Source organism: Homo sapiens, chromosome 3 (genome assembly GCF_000001405.40).
Source record: "Homo sapiens chromosome 3, GRCh38.p14 Primary Assembly".
Lineage (NCBI taxonomy): Eukaryota > Metazoa > Chordata > Mammalia > Primates > Hominidae > Homo > Homo sapiens.
The window spans coordinates 16367251-16381348 of NC_000003.12; the positions used below are offsets into that span (position 1 = coordinate 16367251).

General features: G+C 46.8%; 1 protein-coding gene across 10 annotated transcripts in view, besides 2 other annotated features; it reads right to left on the reverse strand.

Moving 5' to 3' along the window:
- RFTN1 (raftlin, lipid raft linker 1) overlaps positions 1–14098 on the reverse strand; it is a 197855-nt gene that overhangs the window by 51406 nt on the left and 132351 nt on the right. For all 10 annotated transcript variants that reach the window (XM_017006007.3, NM_015150.2, XM_047447783.1 and 7 more), the window contains exons 5-6: positions 10468–10852; positions 2826–3029 (exon numbers count right to left, since the gene is read on the reverse strand). In XM_017006007.3, the coding sequence (XP_016861496.1) occupies positions 2826–3029; positions 10468–10852 (589 nt within the window). The remainder of the gene's footprint in view (positions 1–2825; positions 3030–10467; positions 10853–14098) is intronic.
- Positions 6543–6592: an enhancer, noted in NCBI's record as "active region_19541". NCBI's record gives its function as "activates an Ori minimal core promoter by ATAC-STARR-seq in GM12878 lymphoblastoid cells {active_cell/tissue: GM12878}" and the evidence as "EXISTENCE:reporter gene assay evidence [ECO:0000049][PMID:35858748]".
- Positions 11695–11784: an enhancer, noted in NCBI's record as "active region_19542". NCBI's record gives its function as "activates an Ori minimal core promoter by ATAC-STARR-seq in GM12878 lymphoblastoid cells {active_cell/tissue: GM12878}" and the evidence as "EXISTENCE:reporter gene assay evidence [ECO:0000049][PMID:35858748]".

Consider the following 14098-nt stretch of genomic DNA (forward strand, 5'->3'; position numbering starts at 1 on the left):
ATAGGTTCCTCTTATGATTACGATTAGCTTGCCATTTTTTTTCTTAATTCTGGGAAAAGATCACACACGTATTTCATCCCTGGCCAACGGAAACCTTGGACTTTTCCAGAGCAGAAACGCCCTAACCCAGGAAGCATTACTCCCAGTCATACTCTCCCTCCCAAAAGACATATAAAGGGTGAAATGGTGTTTAAAGTCAGAGTGGGTTTCAATTCATTTTGTTCTGAGAATTGTGCAGCCCTCCCTGACATAGAGATGAACAGCTATGGTGGCGCTCTAAGATACGGGCTGCATACAGGAAGATGCCTGGGCCCTGTGGAGGACTTCACGGTTGCGCTTGCCAGGGGAAATTTCATGTTCTGTCTTCAGGGCAGGAAGAATGAATTTAATGTGGTTAAAGCCAAGGGAGGCTATAACAGTATTTCAAACACTCAAGTCAAATCTGAAGAAAAAGCTGCTTAAGTTGTCTGCATTTCTGGACTCCAGGTTGAAGAGTGGGGTGACGGGAAGTAGAGGAGGCTAACTCAGCCTTGATCACCAAACCATAATGGTAGAGGAACAGCAAATGGGTTTGTGAACGTTCCAAGTGTTCTTTCTTGGAGGTCTTAGGGCCCCTGACATGCTCAGGCAGTGGGGTCAAAGAGAAAACCTTCCTTCTGATGCCCTAGTTTTCCTAAGAGGGGAAGAAATTCCAAGTGGCCACCTGTGTATCCACTATCTCCAGCACCTCTCTGCACACCTTCAACAACTAACCATCAGTTTCCTAGGGAGGAATGTAAAACTATGCATGGCCACAGATAGCATCTATGGGCACCGAGAGGGGATGAAAGGAGCCACTGTTGCCACAACCCAAGATGGGCAATGTGGTGTCCCTGCAGGAAACAGGGAGCCAAAGGTTCCTCCCTGGCCTTCTCTGACACTGATATGTCAGGCTGTAAACATCTGTCCCAAGTTGGCCCCAAGCATGTACCGCCACTGGTGTTTTATGATGCATCTGAAACCAGACCGTGACAACCCCTGGCTTTGGGGAACTTTGTAAGTACCCACGGAGGGCTTCCTTGTGTAGAGGGAGGTTACCCACCTTGCCACCAGGGCACAGAAGTAACCCTACATTAGTTGTATTAAAGACACGTATATTCGGCCGGGCACAGTGGCTCACGCCTGTAATCCCAGCACTTTGGGAGGCCAAGGCGGGTGGATCACGAGGTCAGGGAACTGAGACCATCCTGGCTAACACAGCGAAACCCCATCTCTACTAAAAATACAAAAAAATTAGCCTGCGTGGTGGCGGGTGCCTGTAATCCCAGCTACTCGGGAGGCTGAGGCAGGAGAATGGCATGAACCTGGGAGGTGGAGCTTGCAGTGAGCCGAGATCGCGCCACTGCATTCCAGCACTCCAGCCTGGGCGACAGAGCGAGACTCTGTCCAAAAAAAAAAAAGGCATGTATATTCTAGAACTGCACTGACCAAGTACACACTGACCAGTGACACTAGCCACTAGCCACATATAGTTATTTAAACTTAATGAAAGTTAAATGAATTTTAAAATTCAATTATTCAGATGCAGTATCCACATTTCAAGTGCTCAGTAGCCGCAGGCAGCCGGTGGCCGCCATACTGGACAACCCAGGTACAGAACAAACACCTCCATCATCATGGGCACTTCTATTGGACAGCCCTGCTCTGGATGTATTCTTAACAAGCCAATCACCTTTCTTGTGTCATTCATGCATTCAACAAATGGTTATGGACCACTACACTATACAATGCCTGCTGCTACTATGATAACGTGTCAATATTAGTCAATGATACTTAGATAGAGACTCGCATCCAAAATTAAGAGCTGTCTGTGCTGTATCATGTTCTAAGACTTTGGATGATTTAAAGTACATTCATTTAGAATTCAGAATGGTCTCTATTCTCAGGATGCTTGCTGGCATTTCAAGGATTGCAAACAATGTAGAATCCAAACTCTGTTCGTGACTCTGTTAATTCTTGAGAGAAAACAGCTCAACAACAACACACGGCGCTGTTGATGCCCCCTGCCAGGTTTTGCTGGGATTGACAAATTTGGTGTTATGTGTCACTTAGGAATCCTGCTGACTGGCAGTCCTCAGGATACGCACGTGCTGGCACGTTGGTCCCACTCCCCAAGTTGCCTCCCAGACTTGACACACCCTGGTGACTCAACTTGCCTTCTCGTTAACCTAAAGCCTTTTCTTTGTTTGACACATTTTCCCACTGTGGGCAGACTTTCTGCCTTAGGAGAGCTGACATCAATAGTGCTATCCCATGCAGCAAACCACTAGAGACAGCACATTACTGGGGAGGGGGTACTGGGTGCTGGGAGACCTGGGAACAGTGTGTGTCTCAGTGGAGCTTACAGAAACCAGGCTGTTCAATTTATTTCTCTGCTGTTAATTTCAAGGTGCTGCTACTGCTACTTCAAACTGTAATAGTGTCTACAAACAATTTGCACTTTGGAATGCCACAATCCCAGGGGGTAATTAACAAATCCAGGGAACAATCTTTTTAAAAGCCTTTAAAAGCAACAGAGACTGAGGCCACCTTCGATGAAATAGAATCACTCCACTTTCTCTGTCATTTCAGAAGATACCTGGCTGACTCGTAGAGAGGTTTTGAGAGCACAGGCCCTGGGCTTTATGGAAAGTTCCTCAAGATGTGTTAATTAGAAATAAAATGCAGCATGGTTATCGGCTGCAGAGCTTTCTGAATGAAGCAGACTCTGAAGAGGGACTAAGATTTCAAGAGTTAGAAGCAGAGTTCACAAAGGGCCACCCAAGGACTGTGAATTCCAAACATACCATTCACTATTCCAAGGTAGAAGACTGCGTTCACCAGCATGCCTCCTTTCCGGAAGTGGTCGCTCATGTGCTCTAACCAGTTGGCGTCCAAACCGCTCACTGTCTGGCCATTCTTGGAGACATGGAGAGGAATGGTGACAGGGTAGTATTGCCGGCACTTCTGATGGCTCTTCGGTTTGTTGAAAAGGGTGAAGATCTCCATTTCTGTTGGGATTTGTAAAGGGAGTGGAGAGAGAAGAGGTCAACTGATGATAAAAATCTGTTTCATCGGCTTAAGTGGAATCTCTCAGGAGCCTGAATAAATGATATGATGAATGCTGAAATCTCTGTGAGGCTGTATTGTTGCCAGATAATAAAGCCTCATTCCAAGTAATAAGTTGAGGCTGGCTTAAAGTAACATGGACCTGAAGGGTTGGGCTTCTGATGGGGAACTTAGGTTTTTAATCTGGAATATAATGAATAGCTGTTATCTGCGATTAATAGGCACAGCTAGGTGTTTGAGAAAAGAACATAGCAGATGGTTCTAGAAATTCATACAAAGATGTGTTTTAGAAATAAAAGCAGACATACTTGGGTGAGAATGGTCTTTGGAAAACTAAATGTACAGAGACACATAAAAACAAAAATACTGCTCTAATTCCAGGAACCTTGTACACTCCTGAACTCACTATTTATAAACTGCAGTAGTGTTTCCTGGGGCTGAACCCATAATACTTAATCAAGTACATCAAAAATACATCATTGATATGTAAAAATAAATATGTTCCCGTAAATGAGAGTTCCTGCCTGGAGTGGCAGGTCGGTCCAAACAGCCAAGAAGGCACAGGGGATGAGGCGCTGAGCTTTTGGTTCCTTCATTTATAGCTCAGTTCTTCAGCAATCAATAATCACTGCCACCCAGCAGCTGAGCCGCAACTGCCTACGTGCAGCTGGGCGTGGCTTAGCAGTAGCAGCCTCCAGAAGCAAATACCTGGAATTTCAATCTAAGTCTGAGAGTCTATTTTTGTGCTCCTCATTTAGTCAAGCAATCAGTTGACCCAGCTTAAAAAGTCTTGCTTACACAGGCTAGTCAGGAATATGCTTTGGTTTCCAAAAATATCTTCTTAAATCATAAGAAAATCCCCACCCTTCTTTGAAGCAAGAATTTAAAGGTCATAAACAATGGTTGACATTAGCAAGAAGGACAAAGCACATTCATGCTCCCTGCATGAAACACCTGGACCCACACTCTCTGATGCTGTTTCTCAGATTTCAGTATCTCACAATGTTTTGTGGTATCCAAGTACTAGTTGATTTTTTTAATTGACTCACTTTCCTTTATTTAAACAAACACATTTTTTTAGAAAAAGGAAACTTTGTTTCATGACTATGAAGGCAGTCCGCTACCACTTGCCAAAAACAAGGGGTAATGATGAAGCACATTAACACCAAATATGTTCATCCATCTAACATCTAAAATTATCTCACATAGGTCACAAAGTCTTCTCACAGCCCCGCCTGAGCGAACACCAGCAGAGATCTCTAGGGACCAACGCTGGGCCATATTACTTTGTCATCAGCAATACCTGAATGAACAGCAGCCATTTCAGGCTTTCCATCCAATAGAACAATTAGGGAAGGAAGGTGCCCGTCTTTGGAAGTGGCCACCTGTATTTTAAACACCAATTCTAGCCTGTTCATCATCCCCACGCCAAGTTGCTTTTCTCAGCCCTCCTGCTTACTCAGGAAGCCATCTCCAGCCAGGAAGTACTTTCACACCAGAAATTAGGTCTTGGTGTATAGAACTGGCAGTCACTAGACTAGTTTGTGAGTTCACAATACAAACTTTAGAAATGGAGCGACACAGAGGAGGTTCGTAATGGAGGGAATCCGGCCATAAATTGGGGCTGGGGTGGGCAGGAGGTGAACTAGATGATTGGGTGTTTTCCAGTCCTGGGTGTCAGGGGTTCAATTAAAAGCTGCAGCTACCGAGGGCAAGAGGATAAGCAAGGTTTTAGTGAGTTCTTGGGTTTATTTGGATTCCTTCGAAAGCAGACCCTGCAAGCTTTCCTGTGCAAGTAGTTTATTTGGGAAGTGATCCCAGGAAACAGAGGGAAGGAGTAGGAATGGGCAACAGGAAGGAGCTGGAGATGATGCCAGTGAATGAGTGCACTGAAGAGCATGTTACCACTGGGGCAGCTAGGGCTCAATCCCAACAAGGACCCTGAGACACTGTGTAAAACACACTTCAGATTCACCCACCAAGGGCAAGGAAGGTGGGACATTTATCCCCATAAATTGAAGGTCACTCCTGAATCATTAATTCCTCAGGGCCCATTCCCGAGAATGGCTGCAGGTAGAGAGGCTAAGGAAGCGGTGGGCTCGGCCAGAGCTGTCCACAGGTGACCCCAACATGGGCCATAGCACCACTCGCTACAGCCTGCTACAGTCAAGCACAAATGCAAATGAATTAAGAAGAAGAAGAAAAAAATCACAGCCTCTGTGTGGGAGAAGTAGGTGGGGAATTTGGAAGTGGCCAAAGTCCAAAACTACATGGTAACACTTGATCACACAGAAGGAACTCCCACTCAATGGCAAGACAGAAACATAACTTTCCCAAATGCGTAATGAACCAGGAAAAGGGGAAGGCCAAAGGAGAAGTGAGAATGCTGGGGGTGTAGCGGAGGAAGACAGAGACCCTCAGAAAAGGTAGACGGTGCTGACAGCTTTCCCGGCTTGATCCTCCCCAGGGGGCCAGACTGAAGCCAGAGACAGAAATAAATTTCTCAGGAAAAGGAAACAGTGTTGGAACGAAGAGCCTCCAAAGCATCAGCAGCAATGAAATATTGGGAGAAACCTGATTGCACATGCATAACCCTTGTACGCTCCTCTGCCCCATCATCTCCTTGTCTCCAGTCCTTTCTCTACCCACATGGAAACCAGCCAAGAGAACTGTCCAAAAGTGATGTCCTTTGATGTTTTAATATTCTGATTCTCCAACACACATCCTCACGTGAGCAAGCACCAAAGATTCCAAAAAGAAGCCCCACGTTTGTTTAAATTTTCTCAGCTGCTCTGTGACTCTGCCATGACCCCAGCTGGAAGATTTTTCCAGACATGGGATGGTAAGTCCCAAAGGGATAGGGAAGGCATTGTTTTTGAGAATGTTCTGGGAGTGGCTGAAGGACTGTACTGGCAGAGCACCCAAGGAGCATTTGGACTGTCTTCTCATCTCTCCCTTTCCCCCACCTTGCCTCATTTAGATCCCTCCTGTTACACGTGTTCACCGTATTGACCTAAGCCAACCAGAGGAGAAAGTGAGGGCAGGTTAAGGGGGCATGGGGCCCAAGGGTGGGGGTGGCTGAGTCCTGCCAGCCTTGGAGCCTGGTCCATTCAGGCCTTGCCAGGCTACTAGGGAGTGGGGAGGAAAGAGGCAGCTGTCCAGCCCTGAGGTCTGTACCTGGGCGTGGGGACTCTGGCACAGGATGGAAGGCTGCAGTTTGCCTGCAGGTGGGGCCCCAGAGAGCCCAGGTCTTGAGGGTAAGCAGGGGACTGGCTGGGCCCTGCTGTCCCAGGAGACCTCTGGTCTGGAGAGAAGAAAGAGTTTAGAGCCTGGGTGAAAATCTGGGGCTCCAAGGGCTAGATGTGGGAGGAGGAGGCAGCTGGTCATTAGCTGCATTGGAAGGAACAAGTGGGCATCACACTTGGCTGGGCAGTCCAAGCTGGGTGGGGACTGCAGGCTGCTGAGGTCATGGGCAGAAGGAACTAAGCAGAAAGGTTTGCATTGGGAAGGGAGGCAGTGGGCACCATGGTGGCGAGGCAGGGCAGGAGGGTAGAAGGGCCCCAGGCTGCTCCATCCAGATGCCTAAATCTGGGCAAGGCTGCTCAAGCTTCGCTAAGGCTTGGGTACTAATAGCAGGTACTAATAGTGAGGCCCGCTTGCCAGGGCAGCAGGAAAGGCAAAGTGCAGGGACCGCTGCTGCGTGCACAACAATCCACAGGACTCCACCTGCAAGCATGACAGCAGCCACAGGCATGTGTCCCATATTTACAAGGGCCTTTCACCTTCACCATCTCATGTGACTCTCCCAAACTTGATGAGAGGGGGTGGCCCTGGTTCTGTGCCCAGAAGTGCTAAGTGGATCCCCCAGAAATCACAAGCCAGTAAGTGGCACAGCCAAGAGTCTTTCAAACCCCAAACCCTGGGCTCTTTCCCAAATCTAACAAGAGGCTAACTTCATCAGGACACAGAAGGCAGGGGCTGATGACCGTGGGTGGGAGCTCAATAGCTGTTTGTTAATGGACTGAGTAAAAGGCCAGAAAGATGGCGGCAGGTGGCAGATCTGGGAGGGGGCCGCATCATGGGGTCCAACTATCCCAAGGGAGTTGGGAGGGAAGGAGCCCTCACATCAGGAAAGCCCAACCCCCAGGTTTTGGCCATTCACAATGAGCTGGCAGCCAGGGAGGGCTACTGAATAAAATCCTCTCAGCCAGAAACATGATTGGCATCACACGCTTGGGTTTCTGGCTGACATTTCTAAGCATTTTAAGTGAGGAGGTGCAGGGTAGGAAGGGCAGTGCTTGGAAGACTTGTTATTTTGGTGACGGTGAGAATGATTAGAATTTTCGTGAACCTGTCTAGCCTCCTGGTTTCTCTGATGGAAGCTGTGGCAACGGAGACACTGAGGCTGTCCCTGCACAGGCTCAGGTGATCACGGCACAGCACGGACCTCCAACCAAAAGGAAATTCCCCCAGACCAGGAAATAAGTCAGCGAGCAGGAAGAGGAACCCACGGCGGGCCTCCCCAAGAACCTGCAGGGGCAAGGAGGCGTGACGGCTGCACCGAGCCCGCAGAGATGGGGAGGGACGACCTGCCCCTGCTTCCGCATGGAGAATCCACTGGAAAGTCCTGTCTGAGCAGGCATTGCCTAGATTCCTCTCCCCAAGGCCTCCTATAAAGGAAATAAATTAACTGAGGAGAAGGAGGGAAGAGGAGGGAGACTCCCTCTGGATTTTTTTTAATTGTCTTGCTGTGATTGCCTATTTAAGCCCACCTGGCAGAAGAGGAGTAAAAAACACTTCACCCTCCCTTAGGGGGCTCTGAGAGAAGGCAAGCTGGGAGCTGAGCAGGCAGTGGGGAGGGGTGCCTGGGGGGGCCCGTGTGTGCCTGTGGGGGAGTGACAGTGAGTGGGCTTCCTAGGAGAAAGATTAGGAGAGAGGCTGGGGGTCAGGTGAGGGTCACAACCAATAAGGACAGGGTCCCTGGACGTTCAGCCTTCAGGGAGGCCAAATACTCAAGCTGTGATAAAGAAATTTAACTATATGGGGGTATAAAAGGTGACACTCCCTATTTGTAAAATGGATCTAGTAATAGCATCTTCTGCCATAAAGCTGTTGTGAGGAGTTACTGAGATGACACAAGAAGGACACAGAATAGGGCACTTGGAGGGTGACTGCCATCGTGACCACTGAAAGGCTTATATGTGAAATGATCCCTGTATGAAAAACCCAAAAGCTCATCTATTCCATCAAAGGAGGGAAAAGGGATAATAGTGAGCTGCCTAAATTTCAGAGATTCGCAGCCTGAGCAGAGAGATAAAGGGACTGCTTTATGTGTAGAGACAGGCAGTGTTTACCTGCCTAGGGAGACTGGGCTCGAAGGAGGCTTTAATCCCTCCTCCTGGCCTACCCGTGCAGAGCTGAAATTCTCATCCACTGGTGGGCTGACCACCTCCAGAAACACACACATTCACCCATTCCTCCCCAGCAGGGTCTGTTTCTCCAGGAGAGAACAGGGACTTGGGTGATGGGATAGGGGCCAAGATGCTTTGGGTGTCAATTTTTCTGTGTTCAGCCATCAGGGGAGATTCTGGGTGAGGAAGGTGAGTGGCCACGGGGTAGCAAGAAGGTCCTGGGCACCTGCGGAAGTTCCTTGGACAAGTTTCCCCAGTGAATAATCCTCTCACAGGAGGCAGGAAGTCTGGAAGGAGTATCGGAGGAAGGTGGGCTCTGGAACACAGGAAGCATCTGAAAGCTACTGAGGAAACCTCAATAGTAACTGCCTCCTTTCTCAAAGCCAGGATTCCATGAGAGGTGGAGGTCGAGTGTCAGGACTACTGAGCCTGTACCCCAATAATAGCAGCTCATACTCATGAGTCAAACAGTGCCGAGTGCTTTAAATGTACAACTTTAACCTTTCCATGAGAAACTATCGTTCTATCCCCATTTCAAAGGGTGAGAAACTGAGGCACGGAAGGCAGGCCGGAATGTATACTCTAGATTCTTGAGCACCATGCTCCTCACCTCTCCATCACTCCTGCCCTTTCTCCTGGGGGCCTCTGCCTGGCCTGACTCTCGCCCTCCCACAGTCCTGGACCGTACAGAAGGACTCCAGTGAGGTCCATCTTCCTGCCCAGGATTCAGAGCACACACATCCAGCCCAGCCTCCATGAGAAGATGGAGGTTTCTGGACTAAGACCTGGGCGTTCATGAGGACGACACACTGGGCTTAAATGCATGCTCAGCTACTTCATGAGGGCAGCAGGCATGTGCCTCAAACAGCGAAAAATCACACAGATGAAGGGCTCTACTTCAGTGCATACTAAGAAGGCTCAATGCCTTGATTAAACAATAGTCTTACTACATCACAAAACTGACGCAGCTCCAATATCTCCCTCTAAATCAACTTTGCAAATAAGCCCCTGGAATTAACCATCCCATAATTTTCCTCTCAAGAAGTTCTGATGTAACAAAAGAAACTGTTTCTCCTTGTTTTCCCTTCTGGAAGCACCACCTGTTCATTATCACTTGTAAGAGGCTAAATTCAAGAATTCGTAAATAAATGGTAATAACAATATTAACCAGGGAGATCATCCAGAAAGGCCTAAACAGAAAGCCCTCCTAAGCCCTGGGGGTCTTCTGTTAGTTTTCATACTTGTTCTTACTTACATGGCTTATGTAAGTACCTTGCTCTCAGGAAATGACCAGATGCTAGATTTCCTGGAGAAAGGGGGAAATATGGATGGTTGATTTCCTGAAGAAAGTAGAGAAAAAGGAAATACAGAGAAACGGAGGGAAACTTTGCTCCCTGTAAATCTTATTAAGGGCCTCGGCAAATCTTGTTAGTCTATCACACAGGAAAGACCAAGCAGAGAGGCGTGAAGGGATGGTGGGTAAGTCCACCTGGGTTCATATGCCCGAACTGCCTATTTCCAGACTGGGCAACAAATTTCCTCTCTAAACCCCAGTTTGCTCAGCTGTAAAATGTCTTGCTTTAGGCAAGTATTTTAACAGGTGGTGTGTAGGTTTTCATCGGTGCCTGGCAGGCTGACACTTCCTGTGTGAAAACTGGATAATTCAAGGGCAATTTCGAGAGCACAGGAGATAAAAGAGCTCACAGTCTAGAATCCACTTCAAACGTGACATTTTGGAGCAAACTGCAAGTCAATTTCATGTGGTTCTGAACTCCCCAGAAGTCATAACTTCAGTAAGTAAACAGTCAGGTGGCACAGATAACTGCTTGATAAAGTTTCTCCTGTTTGATGGACTGCTGTCTCTACACTCTAAATTCCATTCCTTTTTCTCTGAGATACCATGGGGATTAATGAAAAGCTGTTAGCTGCTCTTTAAGTGGGTCAAAACTCCCATTGCTGACATACTTACTCCCTGAGAGTGGCTCTTCATGCACCTCCAAGGGGTTGCTCTCCGGTCCATCCAGTGTCTTGCTCACCCCCTGTGGTGAAAGTTCTCCACCATCTCCCTCTCCGGAGGGTGAGCTGGGCTGCTTGGCGAGGGGCACCTCCCCTCTGGGGCCTGAGCTGGGCTCTGGGCTTTGGTTTCTCCCAGCCGGAGCACTGCACACATCCCCAGTCCCCGGTTTCTCATTCTCCAGTGACGCGTGATCCCCACGTGCGTTTTTTGCATCTCTGGCATCCTCGGTGCTGTTGGCAGTAGACACCGGAGCACTGCTGCCTGCCGAGTTCACAGAGGAATGGTACTGAGGTATAACACCAACGAATTTCAGGCCCTGGCTTGCAGCCTCCTGGATCTGTGAGGCAAACAAAAGGAAGGGAAACAAGTGAATGAAATGGTCTATCAAAGGGACACGTGCAGCGTGCAAAGCGCCTCCCCGAGGCCTGCGAGGCTGTTTCAGGTGCAGGAGAAGAATTCCAAGCTGACAGGAACTCCATGTCCTCAGGGGCACCTGCCCCCACACCCTAGTCTGAAGAAGACAGTTTTTTTAATTTGTTTTAACTATATTGTCTGATGGAAAGATAAAGCATTTGGCTTTGAAGAGTTGAAATCACTACTTTGAAACACTACACTAGTCCTTATTAACATTTTTTAAAGAGGCTGGAAAAAGTTCTAAACAAAGAGTTTGAAGGAGGAAGTTTGTTTTATTAAGAGTTTAGTTTTTTTTGTCACTTTTTTTCGGACGAATCACTGACTTCCTGCCCATCAGGCTACTGTATAACTACAGCTTGTCTATATAACCATATACAAACAACAGATGGCATTTTATGGCCCAAAGAGCTTCCTTTTTGGACAATAGTTTTGGCAGAGAAGGGCAGAGGTGGGAAAATCACCCCTGTGCCAAGGCTGTGGGCAAATCCTCCCTGAGAGGTATCATCTGATGGACACCTTGCTCCCTGGTGCTCTCAGGCTTAGGGAAGGTCAAAGGAGCCCACAGATCATGCCCAGCCCACAGCCACAGACTGACTCTTGGCTCTCCAAGTCCTGGTCCACACCATCAGCAGCGAGGTGATGGTTCCTTCTCACTCCCTGTACCAACGGGATGGGGGATGAACACCCACCTGCAGTACCGAGGTACTTGAACTTTCCCTCTCCCTAAAAAATAGCCCAAGGCAATTGGGTTGAATGTAAGTCATAAGTTTGAAAGAAAAATTGAAAATAAATAACCTAATAAAATAAAGCAAGAGCCAGCCAAAGCCAGAAGGTAGCCTTTAGGGGACTTTCCAGGCAAGGATGCTTAAGTCATTTTACAAATAAATAAGGCGGTGCAGACCTCAGAGCTGTCTAAGTCTTAGTCACCAAGCTCTAAGCAGATGACCTCAGAAAATCTTGAGGCCTCTGCAATGATAATCTACCCTCATTTGAGAGTCAGTTTTGCCAGCACAGAGGTATTCTCTCTAAAGGAGAAGCTGCCCTGACAGCTCTCCTCGGAAGAACCACCCTGACATTAAATGGAAAGTCATTTTTGTTCCACACTGCGCAACCTGGAAAACTGCAGTTGCAAACATGCAGTCCAGTCTTTAAATCCTAGCCTGTGCTAGACATAAAATAAGAATAGTAGTAATTACTGTCTACTGTAGACCTACTATGTCTAGGCATTGAGCTAGGCATTTTACATAAATTAAAACAACAAAACGTTTCATCCTTCAATGATGCTGCATGGTATCATTGTCTCCATTTCAGATGAGGACACTGGAGCCCAGAGACATTAAAGTCATAAAACAAGCAGTGAGTAGCCAGAGTGCAAAACCAGGTCTGGCCTGGGCCAAAGTTCATTCTTTTAATCACAAGACTCAGTGGACACATGTCAAAGCATCAACTACATACATGTCTATGGGCATGTATGTGTCCACTCATACGCCCCGAGTTGGCTCAATTCACTCTTCAAAAGTTAAAAAAAACAAAAGACAAAAAAATCTTAAAGCCATCTATTCCATTCTGAAAATTTTTTCCCTCATTAATCTATGATATCCACCTATGTTAAAAATTATTCTATAAAGCTCCTAAAAGAAGGCACAGCAACACAAATTTTAAAAGAAAATAGCAGGGAAATAATTATACCAAAGAACTTTGGAGGCTGAGGAAAGCCACTGCATGCAAAGCATACTTCTGAGCTTTCTGGCAACATATGCCAAAAGAGAAAGGCAATGGGTTTTACAGCCCTCAAATGAAATGAGGAGACACCTGCACTAGCTTCTGCTATTACTCTCTTACTGCAGAGGAAACAGCTATGACTTCTGAAGCATTTTAATAACTGCTTCCATGGAGGGCTCAACCATAGGCCAGTCTCAACTAGAGTCACGGAAATAGCATGAAGTTTAAAGGCTTTTGGAAAGGCCTGATGTGGAGCCCCAGATACGTGACTCACCATCTTGAGGAACCAGAGTAGATTATATAAACTTTCTGTGCCTCAGTTTTCTCATGTATAAAATGAGTGAAAACACACTTATTTTGCAGTTGCACTGAAACTTAGTTTAGACATTACATATGGCAAGTGCGCCAAAGGATGGGGCACAAAGACGGTATCTCTAACCTCTCTCCTTATCAGTCCTGGGCTTCTGCGGCCCTGCAGAGACTGCTGTCATCTAGAGTGAAGAGGCGAGGACTCCAGACACAGGGCATTATCCTAGCCCTCCCCTTCCTCACTGGGACTGGAGGAATTGGAGAGGCTTGGACACAGACACCTGCCCTTCTCCCACAACAAACCAGACAACCATATTCCTTTGCCATCTTGTACTGCAAATTTATCCTCTAGGCCAGGGGTTCTCAAAGTGTGGGCCCCAGACCAGAGCATCAGCATCCCCTGGGAACCTGTTAGAAATGCAAATTCTCAGGCCCCACCACAGACCTACTGAGTCAGAAACTCTGAGGGTGAGATCCAGCAATCTGTGTCTTAACAAGTCCTCCGAGTGATTCCAATGCAGCCTGATGTTTGAGAATCACTGCTCTAGAATACACATTTCATGAGGGCTGGGGTAGTTTGCACTGCTGCATCCCCAGTAATAGAATGATGTCTGACATATAGCAGGTCCTCAATAAATATCTGTTGAATGAATGAATATATTAAATAATGGATGAATATGTATGCCTTCTCTCCCGAAATGAGCTCCTTGAAGGTAGGGATGGAGACATTAATTTTTCAGCTGTAGAATCCAACAAATAGTTAATAAGCCCCTACACTGGTCCAGGCCAACACGGTGCTTAGGTACCAGGAATGTAAAATAGGATCCCCAACCCTCAAGAAGATTTGACCAATTATTACGAACAGAGTTTAAAAATAATTACACTATCATGGAACAATTAATGCTTGAAATGACATATAAAAAGTCAAGATTCTAAACTTCATACACTTTATTATGACAACTATGTAATACACATACATAAACTATGCATAAAAACAGTCACCAAAATGAAAACAGCACTGTATTTGGGGAGTGGGGCTATAAGTGATTTTTTTCTATTACTGTGTAATTTTCAAAATTTACTTAAGGGGCATGGATGTTACTTTTAGAATTGAAAAAGTAAATATTGTAAAAATTCC